Source organism: Homo sapiens, chromosome 11 (assembly GCF_000001405.40).
Source record: "Homo sapiens chromosome 11, GRCh38.p14 Primary Assembly".
In the NCBI taxonomy this organism is placed as follows: domain Eukaryota; kingdom Metazoa; phylum Chordata; class Mammalia; order Primates; family Hominidae; genus Homo; species Homo sapiens.
In genome coordinates this window covers 93,407,397-93,426,170 of record NC_000011.10, presented here as the reverse complement: position 1 = coordinate 93,426,170, position 18,774 = coordinate 93,407,397, and the positions used below count along the sequence as shown (strand labels likewise).

The following is an 18,774-nucleotide window of genomic DNA, read 5'->3' as shown; positions in this document are numbered from 1 at the left end:
TTGATGGGGTTGTTTGTTTTTTTCTTGTAAATTTGTTTGAGTTCATTGTAGATTCTGGATATTAGCCCTTTGTCAGATGAGTAGGTTGCGAAAATTTTCTCCCATGTTGTAGGTTGCCTGTTCACTCTGATGGTAGTTTCTTTTGCTGTGCAGAAGCTCTTTAGTTTAATTAGATCCCATTTGTCAATTTTGTCTTTTGTTGCCATTGCTTTTGGTGTTTTGGACATGAAGTCCTTGCCCACGCCTATGTCCTGAATGGTAATGCCTAGGTTTTCTTCTAGGGTTTTTATGGTTTTAGGTTTAACGTTTAAATCTTTAATCCATCTTGAATTGATTTTTGTATAAGGTGTAAGGAAGGGATCCAGTTTCAGCTTTCTACATATGGCTAGCCAGTTTTCCCAGCACCATTTATTAAATAGGGAATCCTTTCCCCATTGCTTGTTTTTCTCAGGTTTGTCAAAGATCAGATAGTTGTAGATATGTGGCATTATTTCTGAGGGCTCTGTTCTGTTCCATTGATCTATATCTCTGTTTTGGTACCAGTACCATGCTGTTTTGGTTACTGTAGCCTTGTAGTATAGTTTGAAGTCAGGTAGTGTGATGCCTCCAGCTTTGTTCTTTTGGCTTAGGATTGACTTGGCAATGCGGGCTCTTTTTTGGTTCCATATGAACTTTAAAGTAGTTTTTTCCAATTCTGTGAAGAAAGTCATTGGTAGCTTGATGGGGATGGCATTGAATCTGTAAATTACCTTGGGCAGTATGGCCATTTTCACGATATTGATTCTTCCTACCCATGAGCATGGAATGTTCTTCCATTTGTTTGTCTCCTCTTTTATTTCCTTGAGCAGTGGTTTGTAGTTCTCCTTGAAGAGGTCCTTCACATCCCTTGTAAGTTGGATTCCTAGGTATTTTATTCTCTTTGAAGCAATTGTGAATGGGAGTTCACCCATGATTTGGCTCTCTGTTTGTCTGTTGTTGGTGTATAAGAATGCTTGTGATTTTTGTACATTGATTTTGTATCCTGAGACTTTGCTGAAGTTGCTTATCAGCTTAAGGAGATTTTGGGCTGAGACGATGGGGTTTTCTAGATATACAATCATGTCGTCTGCAAACAGGGACAATTTGACTTCCTCTTTTCCTAATTGAATACCCTTTATTTCCTTCTCCTGCCTGATTGCCCTGGCCAGAACTTCCAACACTATGTTGAATAGGAGCGGTGAGAGAGGGCATCCCTGTCTTGTGCCGGTTTTCAAAGGGAATGCTTCCAGTTTTTGCCCATTCAGTATGATATTGGCTGTGGGTTTGTCATAGATAGCTCTTATTATTTTGAAATACGTCCCATCAATACCTAATTTATTGAGAGTTTTTAGCATGAAGCGTTGTTGAATTTTGTCAAAGGCTTTTTCTGCATCTATTGAGATAATCATGTGGTTTTTGTCTTTGGCTCTGTTTATATGCTGGATTACATTTATTGATTTGCGTATATTGAACCAGCCTTGCATCCCAGGGATGAAGCCCACTTGATCATGGTGGATAAGCTTTTTGATGTGCTGCTGGATTCGGTTTGCCAGTATTTTATTGAGGATTTTTGCATCAATGTTCATCAAGGATATTGGTCTAAAATTCTCTTTTTTGGTTGTGTCTCTGCCCGGCTTTGGTATCAGAATGATGCTGGCCTCATAAAATGAGTTAGGGAGGATTCCCTCTTTTTCTATTGATTGGAATAGTTTCAGAAGGAATGGTACCAGTTCCTCCATGTACCTCTGGTAGAATTCGGCTGTGAATCCATCTGGTCCTGGACTCTTTTTGGTTGGTAAACTATTGATTATTGCCACAATTTCAGAGCCTGTTATTGGTCTATTCAGAGATTCAACTTCTTCCTGGTTTAGTCTTGGGAGAGTGTATGTGTCGAGGAATGTATCCATTTCTTCTAGATTTTCTAGTTTATTTGCGTAGAGGTGTTTGTAGTATTCTCTGATGGTAGTTTGTATTTCTGTGGGATCGGTGGTGATATCCCCTTTATCATTTTTTATTGTGTCTATTTGATTCTTCTCTCTTTTTTTCTTTATTAGTCTTGCTAGCGGTCTATCAATTTTGTTGATCCTTTCAAAAAACCAGCTCCTGGATTCATTGATTTTTTGAAGGGTTTTTTGTGTCTCTATTTCCTTCAGTTCTGCTCTGATTTTAGTTATTTCTTGCCTTCTGCTAGCTTTTGAATGTGTTTGCTCTTGCTTTTCTAGTTCTTTTAATTGTGATGTTAGGGTGTCAATTTTGGATCTTTCCTGCTTTCTCTTGTAGGCATTTAGTGCTATAAATTTCCCTCTACACACTGCTTTGAATGCGTCCCAGAGATTCTGGTATGTGGTGTCTTTATTCTCGTTGGTTTCAAAGAACATCTTTATTTCTGCCTTCATTTCGTTATGTACCCAGTAGTCATTCAGGAGCAGGTTGTTCAGTTTCCATGTAGTTGAGCGGCTTTGAGTGAGATTCTTAATCCTGAGTTGTAGTTTGATTGCACTGTGGTCTGAGAGATAGTTTGTTATAATTTCTGTTCTTTTACATTTGCTGAGGAGAGCTTTACTTCCAACTATGTGGTCAATTTTGGAATAGGTGTGGTGTGGTGCTGAAAAAAAGGTATATTCTGTTGATTTGGGGTGGAGAGTTCTGTAGATGTCTATTAGGTCTGCTTGGTGCAGAGCTGAGTTCAATTCCTGGGTATCCTTGTTGACTTTCTGTCTCGTTGATCTGTCTAATGTTGACAGTGGGGTGTTAAAGTCTCCCATTATTAATGTGTGGGAGTCTAAGTCTCTTTGTAGGTCACTGAGGACTTGCTTTATGAATCTGGGTGCTCCTGTATTGGGTGCATAAATATTTAGGATAGTTAGCTCCTCTTGTTGAATTGATCCCTTTACCATTATGTAATGGCCTTCTTTGTCTCTTTTGATCTTTGTTGGTTTAAAGTCTGTTTTATCAGAGACTAGGATTGCAACCCCTGCCTTTTTTTGTTTTCCATTGGCTTGGTAGATCTTCCTCCATCCTTTTATTTTGAGCCTATGTGTGTCTCTGCACGTGAGATGGGTTTCCTGAATACAGCACACTGATGGGTCTTGACTCTTTATCCAACTTGCCAGTCTGTGTCTTTTAATTGCAGAATTTAGTCCATTTATATTTAAAGTTAATATTGTTATGTGTGAATTTGATCCTGTCATTATGATGTTAGCTGGTGATTTTGCTCATTAGTTGATGCAGTTTCTTCCTAGTCTCGATGGTCTTTACATTTTGGCATGATTTTGCAGCGGCTGGTACCGGTTGTTCCTTTCCATGTTTAGCGCTTCCTTCAGGAGCTCTTTTAGGGCAGGCCTGGTGGTGACAAAATCTCTCAACATTTGCTTGTCTATAAAGTATTTTATTTCTCCTTCACTTATGAAGCTTAGTTTGGCTGGATATGAAATTCTGGGTTGAAAATTCTTTTCTTTAAGAATGTTGAATATTGGCCCCCACTCTCTTCTGGCTTGTAGGGTTTCTGCCGAGAGATCCGCTGTTAGTCTGATGGGCTTTCCTTTGAGGGTAACCCGACCTTTCTCTCTGGCTGCCCTTAACATTTTTTCCTTCATTTCAACTTTGGTGAATCTGACAATTATGTGTCTTGGAGTTGCTCTTCTCGAGGAGTATCTTTGTGGCGTTCTCTGTATTTCCTGAATCTGAACGTTGGCCTGCCTTGCTAGATTGGGGAAGTTCTCCTGGATAATATCCTGCAGAGTGTTTTCCAACTTGGTTCCATTCTCCACATCACTTTCAGGTACACCAGTCAGACGTAGATTTGGTCTTTTCACATAGTCCCATATTTCTTGGAGGCTTTGCTCATTTCTTTTTATTCTTTTTTCTCTAAACTTCCCTTCTCGCTTCATTTCATTCATTTCATCTTCCATTGCTGATACCCTTTCTTCCAGTTGATCGCATCGGCTCCTGAGGCTTCTGCATTCTTCACGTAGTTCTCGAGCCTTGGTTTTCAGCTCCATCAGCTCCTTTAAGCACTTCTCTGTATTGGTTATTCTAGTTATACATTCTTCTAAATTTTTTTCAAAGTTTTCAACTTCTTTGCCTTTGTTTTGAATGTCCTCCCGTAGCTCAGAGTAATTTGATCGTCTGAAGCCTTCTTCTCTCAGCTCGTCAAAATCATTCTCCATCCAGCTTTGTTCTGTTGCTGGTGAGGAACTGCGTTCCTTTGGAGGAGGAGAGGCGCTCTGCGTTTTAGAGTTTCCAGTTTTTCTGTTCTGTTTTTTCCCCATCTTTGTGGTTTTATCTACTTTTGGTCTTTGATGATGGTGATGTACAGATGGGTTTTCGGTGTAGATGTCCTTTCTGGTTGTTAGTTTTCCTTCTAACAGACAGGACCCTCAGCTGCAGGTCTGTTGGAATACCCTGCCGTGTGAGGTGTCAGTGTGCCCCTGCTGGGGGGTGCCTCCCAGTTAGGCTGCTCGGGGGTCAGGAGTCAGGGACCCACTTGAGGAGGCAGTCTGTCTGCCCGTTCTCAGATCTCCAGCTGCGTGCTGGGAGAACCACTGCTCTCTTCAAAGCTGTCAGACAGGGACACTTAAGTCTGCAGAGGTTACTGCTGTCTTTTTGTTTGTCTGTGCCCTGCCCCCAGAGGTGGAGCCTTCAGAGGCAGGCAGGCCTCCTTGAGCTGTGGTGGGCTCCACCCAGTTCGAGCTTCCCGGCTGCTTTGTTTACCTAAGCAAGCCTGGGCAATGGCGGGCGCCCCTCCCCCAGCCTCGTTGCCGCCTTGCAGTTTGATCTCAGACTGCTGTGCTAGCAATCAGCGAGATTCCGTGGGCGTAGGACCCTCCGAGCCAGGTGTGGGATATAGTCTCGTGGTGCGCCGTTTCTTAAGCCGGTCTGAAAAGCGCAATATTCGGGTGGGAGTGACCCGATTTTCCAGGTGCGACCGTCACCCCTTTCTTTGACTCGGAAAGGGAACTCCCTGACCCCTTGCGCTTCCCAGGTGAGGCAATGCCTCGCCCTGCTTCGGCTCGCGCACGGTGCGCACACACACTGGCCTGCGCCCACTGTCTGGCACTCCCTAGTGAGATGAACCCGGTACCTCAGATGGAAATGCAGAAATCACCGTCTTCTGCGTCGCTCACGCTGGGAGCTGTAGACCGGAGCTGTTCCTATTCGGCCATCCGGTATGGCCATTTTCATGATATTGATTCTTCCTACCCATGAGCATGGAATGTTCTTCCATTTGTTTGTATCCTCTTTTATTTCATTGAGCAGTGGTTTGTAGTTCTCCTTGAAGAGGTCCTTCACATCCCTTGTAAGTTGGATTCCTAGGTATTTTATTATCTTTGAAGCAATTGTGAATGGGAGTTCACTCATGATTTGGCTCTCTGTTTGTCTGTTATTGGTGTATAAGAATGCTTGTGATTTTTGCACATTGATTTTGTATCCTGAGAGTTTGCTGAAGTTGCTTATCAACTTAAGGAGATTTTGGGCAGAGACAATGGGGTTTTCTCGATATACAATCATGTCATCTGCAAACAGGGACAATTTGACTTCCTCTTTTCCTAATTGAATACCCTTTATTTCCTTCTCCTGCCTAATTGCCCTGGCCAGAACTTCCAACACTATGTTGAATAGGAGTGGTGAGAGAGGGCATCCCTGTCTTGTGCCAGTTTTCAAAGGGAATGCTTCCAGTTTTTGCCCATTCAGTATGATATTGGCTATGGGTTTGTCATAGATAGCTCTTATGATTTTGAGATACGTCCCATGAATACCTAATTTATTGAGTTTTTAGCATGAAGCATTGTTGAATTTTGTCAAAGGCCTTTTCTGCATCTATTGAGATAATCATGTGGTTTTTGTCTTTGGTTCTGTTTATATGCTGGATTACATTTATTGATTTGCGTATGTTGAACCAGCCTTGCATCCCAGGGATGAAGCCCACTTGATCATGGTGGATAAGCTTTTTGATGTGCTGCTGGATTTGGTTTGCCAGTATTTTATTGAGGATTTTTGCATCAATGTTCATCAAGGATATTGGTCTAAAATTCTCTTATTTGGTTGTGTCTCTGCCAGGCTTTGGTATCAGGATGATGCTGGCCTCATAAAATGAGTTAGGGAGGATTCCCTCTTTTTCTATTGATTGGAATGGTTTCAGAAGGAAGGGTACCAGCTCCTCCTTGTACCTTTGGTAGAATTCGGCTGTGAATCCATCTGGTCCTGGACCTTTTTTGGTTGGTAAGCTATTGATTATTGCCACAATTTCAGAGCCTGTTTTTTTTTTAATTTTTATTTTATTTTATTTTATTTTATTATTTTTTTGAAGGTGTTTTGTTTATTTTTATTTTTTTCCCAGAAAATGGAAAACATGAGAAGGAAAATTTCTCATGCCAACATAAAGAGTAAAGAAGTCCAACTGTTGACATAAACACAAACAGTAATAGTTCTTTATACAGTACTTTGCAGTTCTTGAAAAACTTTAATATATTTAATCTCCTTTAAAACTTGAAACTACTCCTTAAAATGCCCCTTGAGATCGATTTCATCTCTGGAAACGGAAATGAGAAAGGCTAAATACCTTGTGCAAAGTCATGCAACTCATAGTTGGTGGTGCCTAGAAAATAAAACTAGGTGGTTTGACCCATTTCAATGTCAGCACCAGGGGAGGCAAAAGTGACTCCACTTTGAATGCTAATCTGCCATGTTGACTTCTGATTAGCCCCATGACTGCCTCCTGGTTTTCACTTTATTAATGTTTACTTCAACTAGCATAAGAACAAAGCAACCTTGATGCTATCATACAAAGTACAGGCTATGACACACAGCACATTCTTGCCTGTTCTGGAAGGTTGCCTTTAATTGTCTTGCTGAAGAGCGCATCTGCTTTCCTGAAGCTGTATAAGCCTTGGGTCTGAGCAGTAGCAGTGTGGGGATCTGCCTGTCTTGCTGCTATCCAAGCCACAGTTCTGTCTTTTTTTTTTTTATTATTATACTTTAAGTTTTAGGGTACATGTGCACAATGTGCAGGTTAGTTACATATGTATACATGTGACATGCTGGTGCACTGCACCCACTAACTCGTCATCTAGCATTAGGTATATCTCCCAATGCTATCCCTCCCCCCTCCCGCCACCCCACAACAGTCCCCAGAGTGTGATGTTCCCCTTCCTGTGTCCATGTGTTCTCATTGTTCAATTCCCACCTATGAGTGAGAATATGCAGTGTTTGGTTTTTTGTTCTTGCGATAGTTTACTGAGAATGATGATTTCCAACTTCATCCATATCCCTACAAAGGACATGAACTCATCATTTTTTATGGCTGCATAGCATTCCATGATGTATATGTGCCACATTTTCTTAATCCAGTCTATCATTGTTGGACATTTGGGTTGGTTCCAAGTCTTTGCTATTGTGAATAGTGCCGCAATAAACATACGTGTGCATGTGTCTTTATAGCAGCATGATTTATAGTCCTTTGGGTATATACCCAGGAATGGGATGGCTGGGTCAAATGGTATTTCTAGTTCTAGATCCCTGAGGAATCGCCACACTGACTTCCACAATGGTTGAACTAGTTTACAGTCCCACCAACAGTGTAAAAGTGTTACTATTTCTCCATATCCTCTCCAGCACCTGTTGTTTCCTGACTTTTTAATGATTGCCATTCTAACTGGTGTGAGATGATATCGCATTGTGGTTTTGATTTGCATTTCTCTGATGGCCAGTGATAGTGAGCATTTTTTCATGTGTTTTTTGGCTGCATAAATGTCTTCTTTTGAGAAGTGTCTGTTCATGTCCTTCGCCCACTTTTTGATGGGGTTGTTTGTTTTTTTCTTGTAAATTTGTTTGAGTTGATTGTAGATTCTGGATATTAGCCCTTTGTCAGATGAGTAGGTTGCGAAAATTTTCTCCCATTTTGTAGGTTGCCTGTTCGCTCTGATGGTAGTTTCTTTTGCTGTGCAGAAGCTCTTTAGTTTAATTAGATCCCATTTGTCAATTTTGGCTTTTGTTGCCATTGCTTTTGGTGTTTTAGACATGAAGTCCTTGCCCGTGCCTATGTCCTGAATGGTAATGCCTAGGTTTTCTTCTACAGTTTTTATGGTTTTAGGTCTACCGTTTAAGTCTTTAATCCATCTTGAATTGATTTTTGTATAAGGTATAAGGAAGGGATCCAGTTTCAGCTTTCTACATATGGCTAGCCAGTTTTCCCAGCACCATTTATTAAATAGGGAATCCTTTCCCCATTGCTTGTTTTTCTCAGGTTTGTCAAAGATCAGATAGTTGTAGATATGCGGTATTATTTCTGAGGGCTCTGTTATGTTCCATTGATCTATATTTCTGTTTTGGTACCAGTACCATGCTGTTTTGGTTACTGTAGCCTTGTAGTATAGTTTGAAGTCAGGTAGCATGATGCCTCCAGCTTTGTTCTTTTGGCTTAGGATTGACTTGGCGATGAGGGCTCTTTTTTGGTTCCATATGAACTTTAAAGTAGTTTTTTACAATTCTGTGAAGAAAGTCATTGGTAGCTTGATGGGGATGGCACTGAATCTATAAATTACCTTGGGCAGTATGGCCATTTTCATGATATTGATTCTTCCTACCCATGAGCATGGAATGTTCTTCCATTTGTTTGTATCCTCTTTTATTTCATTGAGCAGTGGTTTGTAGTTCTCCCTGAAGAGGTCCTTCACTTCCCTTGTAAGTTGGATTCCTAGGTATTTTATTATCTTTGAAGCAATTGTGAATGGGAGTTCACTCATGATTTGGCTCTCTGTTTGTCTGTTATTGGTGTATAAGAATGCTTGTGATTTTTGCACATTGATTTTGTATCCTGAGAGTTTGCTGAAGTTGCTTATCAACTTAAGGAGATTTTGGGCAGAGACAATGGGGTTTTCTCGATATACAATCATGTCATCTGCAAACAGGGACAATTTGACTTCCTCTTTTCCTAATTGAATACCCTTTATTTCCTTCTCCTGCCTAATTGCCCTGGCCAGAACTTCCAACACTATGTTGAATAGGAGTGGTGAGAGAGGGCATCCCTGTCTTGTGCCAGTTTTCAAAGGGAATGCTTCCAGTTTTTGCCCATTCAGTATGATATTGGCTATGGGTTTGTCATAGATAGCTCTTATTATTTTGAGATACGTCCCATGTATACCTAATTTATTGAGAGTTTTTAGCATGAAGTGTTGTTGAATTTTGTCAAATGCTTTTTCTGAATCTATTGAGATAATCATGTGGTTTTTGTCTTTGGTCCCATTTGTATGCTGGATTACATTTATTGATTTGCGTATATTGAACCAGCCTTGCATCCCAGGGATGAAGCCCACTCGATCATGGTGGATAAGCTTTTTGATGTGCTGCTGGATTTGGTTTGCCAGTATTTTATTGAGGATTTTTGCATCAATGTTTATCAAGGATATTGGTCTAAAATTCTCTTATTTGGTTGTGTCTCTGCCAGGCTTTGGTATCAGGATGATGCTGGCCTCATAAAATGAGTTAGGGAGGATTCCCTCTTTTTCTATTGATTGGAATAGTTTCAGAAGGAATGGTACCAGTTCCTCCTTGTACCTCTGGTAGAATTTGGCTGTGAATCCATCTGGTCCTGGACTCTTTTTGGTTGGTAAGCTATTGATTATTGCCACAATTTCAGATCCTGTTATTGGTCTATTCAGAGATTCAACTTCTTCCTGGTTTAGTCTTGGGAGAGTGTATGTGTCGAGGAATTTATCCATTTCTGGATTTTCTAGTTTATTTGCGTAGAGGTGTTTGTAGTATTCTCTGATGGTAGTTTGTATTTCTGTGGGATCGGTGGTGATATCCCCTTTATCATTTTTTATTGCATCTATTTGATTCTTCTCTCTTTTTTTCTTTATTAGTCTTGTTAGCAGTCTATCAATTTTGTTGATCCTTTCAAAAAACAAGCTCCTGGATTCATTAATTTTTTGAAGAGTTTTTTGTGTCTCTATTTCCTTCAGTTCTGCTCTGATTTTGGTTATTTCTTGCCTTCTGCTAGCTTTTGCAAGTGTTTGCTCTGAGCAAGGACAACTCTTATACGCTACTTGAGATATTCATTGGCTCCTACAGGAAAATAGTTTGGCGGTACCTACTAAAGCTGACCATATTCATATCCTATGACCTCGGTATTCCATTTTAGGTATGCATACCCAGTGGAAATGTATATACACATGCACCAAAAGACTCATAAAAGAATTTTTTGGCAGCAGTATTTGTAATAGCCCCAAATTGGAAATGACTCAAATGTCCATCCATAGTAGAATGAATGAATGAATTTTATTGTCATTGAATGTGGTATTTATATCCCATAGATTAGTATAGAGAAACAAAAATAAACTACAGCTGTATAAAACAATATGGGTGATGATCAATCTAAAAAACAAGGTTGAGAAAAAGAAGCCAGAAACAAAATAATATATATCATATGATATCATTTATATAAAATTTACAAGTTGGCAAAACAAATCGATAATGCTAAAAGTCAGGATAGTGGTTATGTCGGGAGCAAGCAGAAGTAGAGACTGGAAGGGAACATGAGTGGGGCTTCTGGAGTGCTGGGGATGTCTGATCATTACTTGGGTGGTAGTTACATTCCCTTTGTGATAACTCATCAAGCTGTCCATTTATGATTTGTACCTGTGTCTACACTTACGGCAGAGTCAATAGAAAAGATGTTTTAAACCAGTCCAAAAGATCACTGTAGCTCTTTAAAATATACGGATCCTTGAGGACTCATGGAATATTGAAGGGTGAGTCCCAAGCACTCGCATTTTTTTTAAAAAACACCATCTCCAGTAATTCTGGCCTGCATTAGAGGTTAATAATCATTGACTGAAACACTTTAGGAAATATTATGGATATCTTTTCCTTCTGTAGATAGGTATGGCCAAATGGCTCGCAGACCCATCTTGGAGTCCTATTCAAGGAGTGAGATTAAAAACAAACGAACTACTATGTACGTCAGTTTATTGACATCAGTGTAAGAGTAAAGCAATAACCCATTAAAGAAAAAAAAAGCCCACAACCAGCAACTCACCAGTGGGAATACATCATCATCACTAACCAAAGGACTTGTCATTTCTTTGGCTTGAAATGTCGAAGGTGGCAAGGGAGGCATTGTACTTCTGTTTGGCTCACAGTCATGACTAAGTCTAAAAGAGAAGAAATGGTTGTTGTTGTTGCTATCAAGGACACATGTTTATTTATGTAGCTAAGGATTTTAATCTCTCAGATGTCCAAGTAGGGGGAAAGCACAACAAAATGTTTGGGCTTGTTACCTGGGTGTTTCTTTGAATATGACTTTCCTGATGAATAATTTCTATTTCATTTAAAGGACTTAGAATGATTAAAAATGAAGCAGAAAACTTAACAACTGTTAAAAATATTTTGTGATCCTTATTGCCTATATTGCTTCCCTTTCTGTGTTATACTTTTCTATGTCTTTGTCATTTATTTTAATAATGTAAAGCAGTTTGAGAAAAGTCTCCAAACAGGTAATTACACTGTTGCCCTTGACAGTTCTAAATAGATACTCTTTTTCTATTCTCTTTTACACTTAACCTCACTGGCTTTCTTAACAGAATTATACTATTTTTTATGCTAAACAAGTCTTTTATTTTATTTATTTATTTATTAATTTATTTTGAGACAGAGCCTTGCTCTGTCGCCTAGGCTGGAGTGCAGTGGCGCGATCGCAGCTCACTGCAACCTCCGCCTCCCAGGTTCAAGAGACTCTCCTGTCTCCTGAGTAGCTGGGATTATAGGCGCCCGCCACCACGCCAGGGTAATTTTCTGTATTTTTAGTAGAGATGGGGCTTCACCATGTTAGCCAGGATGGTCTCGATCTCCTGACCTTGTGATTCGCCTGCGTTGGCCTCCCAAAGTGCTGGGATTACAGGCATGAGTCACCGTGCGCCCAGCCAACAAGTCTTTGAATAACTCTAATTTCTATAGATTTTGATAATTTAAAACATGCTTTCAATTTACACCATCTCCTAAGCTCCTCCAGTTACTAGTTGTGTGATCTTGAGCAGGTAACTTTATCTCTCTGTGATTTTAATTTTCTCACTTATAAAAGGGTTGTTATGAGAGTTGAATGATTAATATATGTAAAACACTTAGAAAACAATGCCTGGCACATAGTAAATGTTTAGTAAAGATTAGGTATTATTATTATTAAACTAATCTGATCTTCAAAATAACCCTAATACGCTGGATACTATCCACAGATGAGGAGACTAAGATTTAAAAGTTCAATTATTCGTCTAATTATTTACTTTTTAAATCAGAATAAATTGCTAGGAAGTGATGTCTTTAGATTTTGGACTCAAATCCAGATTTTCTTGACTTAAAAAACCCCACTATTTCAGTGAAAGTCATACAGCATGGAATTTGTTTGTGCTAAAACATAGGTTAGAAAATGAGACTGAAAACAATAACATTGAGATTTTGAATTTTGGTTTGTTGACTAAGCAAATGAATAAGAAAACATGTAACAAACCAATTTATCCTAAAGTTTTACAAAAAAGGTCCTAAAAGTATGGGCTGTTTGGGATTAAATAAATATCTTTCATGAAACTGAGGTTTAGATGTAATAAAATCATCAAAGAGGCTGGGCCCAGTGGCTCACGCCTGTAATCCCAGCACTTTGAGAGGCTGAGGCAGGCAGATCACGAGGTCAGGAGATCGAGACCATCTCGGCTAACATGGTGAAACCCCGTCGCTACTAAAAATACAAAAAAATTAGCCTGGCGTGATGGCGGGCGCCTGTAGTCCCAGCTACTCAGGAGGCTGAGGCAGGAGAATGGCGTGAACCCGGGAGGCGGAGCTTGCAGTGAGCCGAGATTGCGCCACTGCACTCCAGCCTGGGCGACAGAGAGAGACTCCGTCTCAAAAAAAAAAAAAAAAAATCATCAAAGACCATCAAAACGAAAATCCCTTCAATTTGAAATTATTTATTTTTACTAATGGTTCAAATTCTCCACAGGTATTGATTAGCCCTTTTCAAAGCCTTCATAGTTTAATTTAACCTAGTTAAAAAATTTTTCACATTACTTTTCTCTGGTCTTATCCAAAGACTATCTAATTTACAGACTTGTTTCTTATTATACAAATCATATTTTCAAAGCTATGCATACAAATAGCATTAAAAGTTAAGTGAGGCATCTGTAAATTAGTACACAAAAACAAATACAACATGTTTTCCATTTTTGCTTATCTTGAGATGTATCTTTTTTTTTTACTCATTCTCCCAAACTATAATTACCATGGAAACAGAACAGCAAATTAAACTGAAATAACATGGTTTATGATGTGCACCATAAGATGAAACATCTCACAATTCAAGTAGAATTATAACATTTGCATAGTATATCTGCATATAATCTTTAGCTGAACCTTTTGAGTGAGGTTACTGTCTATACTTCAAAGCACGGTGAAAAAAAATTAGTAGCGATTCAAGAAGTATATATCTCTCTGTTATCTCACAGAGATTTCAGGCAAAGTATTATTTGTGCTAAATTATCTAAATAATTATCTTAGTTATCCATTTTGCTTTGGATGTACAGATAAAGTTTTATGGTGTTAATTACTAACATTTATATAGGGACATTCTTTTTAGTGTAAGATCAATAAAATGTAGAGACGACATTATGAAGTAAAGTACTTTTGTTTTAAATCACCTTTATATCTGACAAGTTCTTCTTCAAGAATACAGCTATTCAAATACTTCATAAAACCACCTTGCATAAAGTGCTATGCATATCAATTTAAAAGCTATCTTAAAAATGATTTTGGAAGGCTTTTAATATCCTCTCACAAGCTGATCTGTTCAATGATCTTTTCCACAGGCCTATTCCAAGGCTGCTGCGTGATTTCACCAGGATAGCAGGCCCCAGTTGCTTTGCTGGGGAACAGAACTCTGTCCACTTGAGACTTGAGTCAACACTTCACAATTTTCAGCTTTGTTGGACATGTACATCCAGTCCTGTCCCTCCATTAATATTCCCCTTGGCCATAGGATAATGTCCTTAGCATGGAGCAAGATTCCTTCTTTACCTTTTTCCAGCCTCACCTTCCAACACTCCACTAAACTCCCTATTCCATGAACTGCTCATTGTTTCCTGTACTAGAACTGTCAACCTATGTTTTGCTCCTTATTGAGCAAAACCACAGTACAAACATTCTCAGATTCAGGCTTCTAGATGTCTATTCATTCCTTGACAAGAGATCTTGTGAGTGGTTATTACAAACCTGCTGACTGTGGTTTTTTAGTATTAGAAACTCTTAATTTATTAGCTAGACTTGAAGCCATTTTAATGATTGTTTGACTGCTAAAATCTGTCTAGTACATGATACAACTTTTAAAATCATAAATTCATTTTTAAGTATGTGTCTTATATAGAGATAAAACTCCATTTATTACAAAATTGATTTGTCATTAAAATTAGTTACATATTAATAGCTCTGGATACCACTACTCCAAATTAGCTTGTAAATTATCCTGAAACTTCAAAACTCTAACTTTTAAAAACAATATTTAAAACATCCACACCAAATTCAATCACCTCTCACTCATATTTTTTAAGAAAGTGCTAAGTAGCTGTCTTACTAGAAAGCAAATGCTTTAGAATATCCTAAAATGCTTCACATTTTAAGTGAGTGAGCATTAAAAACAACAAAACCGAGTTGCTTCAGAGTGAATAAAAGGTTAAGAATGTATTATATAAGTCTTCCTCAGTTAAAAGTAAGAATTGCCTTAAAATTAGACTATGAATCTTAACATTTTGTGGAACATTTTCTTCATACACTTTTATCTAAATGCTTTTTCCTTCCTCAAATACTTTAACAAGACCTCACTGCATTAGCCATTGATATGTAAAGATACTTTGTATGTTTTTGATTAATTTATGCCTAACAAATATACATACATAGTTTTTTACTGTTTCACTTCACTGAGCTGTGTTGTGAGGGAAAAAAAGATGATTTCATTTTTCAGTTGCTAGCATTAACAGAGAGATATCTGCTTTGCAGCTCTTCACTGGTGAGTTCACAGTGTCCTTGCATCTCAACAACTCTTTCCCCACAGTAGGATTTACATGGTAATAATTTATTCAGAACATTTGAAATACTGTTTCTTTTAAAAAACAGGTCACTGGAAAACACTGAAATCAGACAAGGCATTAAAACAAATTTAATGAAACTTTCAACAAATGAAACTGGCAGGACACAAGGCTTTGCAGCAGGAATAGCAGCCTAAACTGCTTATTAGGATAATCTCCTGCTGAGCATTTTACCTCTTATGTTGCTTTTTGTGTCCCCTACTGTCTTGTTTTTGTTAGATACTTTTAACACATTCTGTACTGCCTGACAAAGAGAAAAAAGGGGGCAACCCAAACAATAAAAATACTTTCTAAAAATAATAAAAGGCAGAGTAACTGTCTTTTTGTTTAAATAACAACACCTGGTATCTCCATCTAAAGCTTTCAAAGTTATTCTCAACTAGCACGAACAGGAAATAGTGTTCTGTACCCAGTGGGTGCTCAATACAGATCAGTGACTAACATACGCAGGTGACCCTTTATAGTGTTCTTCATGGGTTTGCTTTTCTCTCGCAATGAGGCAACTATATACAGTACATGGGAGTCATAATTTGACCAATGGAGAATGAATCCATAAGTACTCTGTAAAGCTTATTTATTCCATATTAGAACATATATTCTTACACCAAAATCAGGATTACACTCCTTTGGACAGATCTTCACATGGACACATTCACCAGAGAACTGGTCCATGGCCATGCCCAGCGACCTCTTTCATCCTTCCTACACTGCTTTTATCCTGCTGCTGCTGTCACTACCAACACCCCACCACAGCACCCCACCATGATGCTTTTTAGGGATGGCAGTCAGTCCTCCTTCATTCGCTTCTTTACCTGAAAAGGGTTTATTAATTTGGTACTTTTGAATGGTTACTGTTTCCTGCATGGGGCTACAATATATCCTTCTAATATACACATGGCTGAGGTGCTGAAAGTAGGACGGGGCTGTACTATACCCATAAGAATGTTGAACATCTGTTTTATGTTGAACATTTTTTTTTAATATATCCCATGGACCTACGGATTTATCTACCTGTAGAGCTGAGTATGCTTACTTAAAAAGATGAGTCTGGCACCACCTCTCCCCCACAGAACTATCTTTGAGGCTATGTCAGATTCAGCCATTTGTCTATTTGCCCAAATATACTTTTTATGTACCATAAGTTGTGGGAGAAATATTATTATAAATACTAACAATTTTGTTAGTAATAATGGTTAACATTTATGGAACTACAAGTTGTGTATGGTTTTTCTCCTATAATCCTTATGAAAATCTTACAATTATTAACCTTGTTTGTCAGATAGAAAATCGAGGGTGACAAAGGTTAAGAAAATTTTCCAGGGCTGTGAATATTATTTCTGTTATGTAACAACAAAATAGAAGGTTTTTCATGCTAACTATTATGAGCTTATGAGCAAATGTTGCAATGAAGTTGGGTCTGGACCTACTAATCTGCCGTTTCTTGGCACTATGAAATGAAATAATAAATTGATATCAAATATGTCTGGGGAGTGCTGCATACAATATCCCTTGTTGGACAATCACAGTGTAAGTTAACATATTAATGGCTCTGAGAAATATTGTATAAAATAAACTTGCTTATTTTGTTCAGCATTTTCCAAGTTTGGGAAAACAGTAAAAGGCTTTCAGAGACTTATGACTCCATAAATCTTTTATTAAAATTGAATAACTTAGCCTATTTTTATGCTTGATAGATTTTAATTTTGAATAAGACCTTTTACAGAGTATGGGAATAATGTGGACAGCCGATAATGATTTTCCATACACTTCTCTTCATTTGGAGAAAACCTCTTATACATCCATAGATTCCTTCTCTACAAAATGACCAATAATTTGTTGCCACTGCTAGAATGTCAATGGAAAGTGTATCTATTGGCTGGGTGTGGTGGCTCACGCCTGTAATCCCAGCACTTTGGGAGGCTGAGGTGGGTGGATCACTTGCGGTCAGGAGTTAGAGACCAGCCTGGCCAACATAGTGAAACCTTGTCTCTACTAAAAATACAAAAATTATCCGGGTGTAGTGGCGGGGGCCTGTAGTCCCAGTTACTTGGGAGGCTGAGGCATGAGAATTACTTGAACCCAGGAGGCAGAGGTTGGAGTGAGCCGAGATCACACCACTGCACTCCAGCCTGGGCGACAGAGCGAGACTCCATCTCAAAACAAACAAACAAACAAACCCCAAAAAACAAAAACAACAAAAAAAGAAAGTGTATCTATTATTGAAGGTAGGTGAAAAGTGACATGTTCCTACATTTTCTATTTTGTTTGAACAATATACCTATTAAAATCTAGTTTTCTCTGTTCCCATGACATCAAAAGTAAAATTACTTATCTGTATGTTTTGTATACCACCTCAGCTTCCAAAAAGATCTGAGATGACTAACAAACTAAAATCCACTGTAACACTCCACGCATTTCAAATCGACACAATTTCTTATAAAGCAATGTATCTAGCCTACATTATCTACTCATCTACTGCATTATCATTATAAATTTTAAACCACAGAAGAGAAAGCGTATAAAGTTATAATTTGAATTCTTTAAAAATAAATTTTAATTACATGTTTTTAAACTTATGCCCTTATATAATGGAGCCAGCATACCTCTCTTCATTTTGTTCCACTTTTATTTGGCTTTGATAGGCATATCTTCCTGTTTCTTCATAGGTGTTTTGATTAGTCCAGGTTGATTTTCCATTGACATGAAGTTTTGCAAGATCATTTCGGAGCCTTTCATTCTCATATTGCAGTTTATTAATAGATGTATGCCTTGACTGTTCCCTGTTAGTGAAGTCCATACTCTAGAGAATAAAATAAACTATCATTGAATAAACTGCCCCTTATAAGTAATGCATATTTTCTGTGTGTTTGGAGACTTGTGCTGGAAAGGCCCTTTCATTTGAGCCAAGTGATGTGGCTGTACTCTTGCTCACTTTCTAAATGCTCCTTTCCACCCCCTCACCTCCTCACAACAAGCAGATACCCAGAGGTAGCTGTTGTGGAACACATTTGCAATGATGTATGTATTGCATCATCCCCACTGTTGGATGGTGCAATACATACAATATTGCTCATGCCCCAAAACAGAAAAGGTTTACTCTATGCATTGTTGCTCTCTGTATCTATTTAGGTTGGTGCAGAAGTAATTGCGGTTTTTGCCATTACTTTCAATGGCAAAATTGCAATTACTTTTGCACCAACCTAACAGAACAAATTAGCTAGATTTCAAGTTTTTTTGTGTTCATAGGATATACCTTCTAGTGTTGATTAATAATGGAACTGGAAATAACATGCATTTAAATTTTAAAAGAATTTTCTTCTGATTAAGATGGGCATGTATTAATATATGGGCACATAAAATCATATATATGTCATTATAGAAAATATAAGGTATTAAGAACAAAATAAATATTCCATACTACCAACACTCAGTGATAACTGCTATTAACAGTTATATTTATATCTTTCTAGTCTTTTTCCTACCAGTAGAAAATACAATATCAACATAAAGTATCAATATAATTATAATGTATGCCTACTTAGAAAATTATAATCAATATACAGTCATATGTTGTTTAATTATGGGGACACATTCTGAAAAAGGCGACATCAGCTGATTTCATCATGTGATCATA

General features: G+C 38.2%; 1 protein-coding gene across 16 annotated transcripts in view, besides 1 other annotated feature; it reads right to left on the bottom strand.

Moving 5' to 3' along the window:
• DEUP1 (deuterosome assembly protein 1) overlaps positions 1 to 18,774 on the bottom strand; it is a 108,473-nt gene that overhangs the window by 12,300 nt on the left and 77,399 nt on the right. For 10 of the 16 annotated variants that reach the window (XR_007062456.1, XM_011542631.3, XM_047426455.1 and 7 more), the window contains 2 exons: positions 17,744 to 17,940; positions 11,057 to 11,171 (listed from right to left, as the gene is read on the bottom strand). The exons of 2 other annotated variants lie outside the window; for them this stretch is intronic. Coding sequence is in view for 11 of the 14 variants with exons in the window: in XM_011542631.3 (XP_011540933.1) it covers positions 11,057 to 11,171; positions 17,744 to 17,940 (312 nt within the window). In the remaining 3 variants the exon portion in view is untranslated. Of the gene's footprint in view, positions 1 to 11,056; positions 11,172 to 14,948; positions 15,183 to 17,743; positions 17,941 to 18,774 lie in introns of those variants that run through there. 4 more of the 16 variants (XR_947798.3, XR_007062457.1, XM_047426456.1 and 1 more) reach the window with 2 other exon arrangements.
• Positions 4,255 to 4,894: an enhancer, noted in NCBI's record as "OCT4-NANOG-H3K27ac-H3K4me1 hESC enhancer chr11:93154443-93155082 (GRCh37/hg19 assembly coordinates)". NCBI's record gives its function as "activates a minimal SCP1, AML or CMV promoter by ChIP-STARR-seq in primed H9 embryonic stem cells {active_cell/tissue: H9 hESC(primed)}" and the evidence as "EXISTENCE:reporter gene assay evidence [ECO:0000049][PMID:30033119]".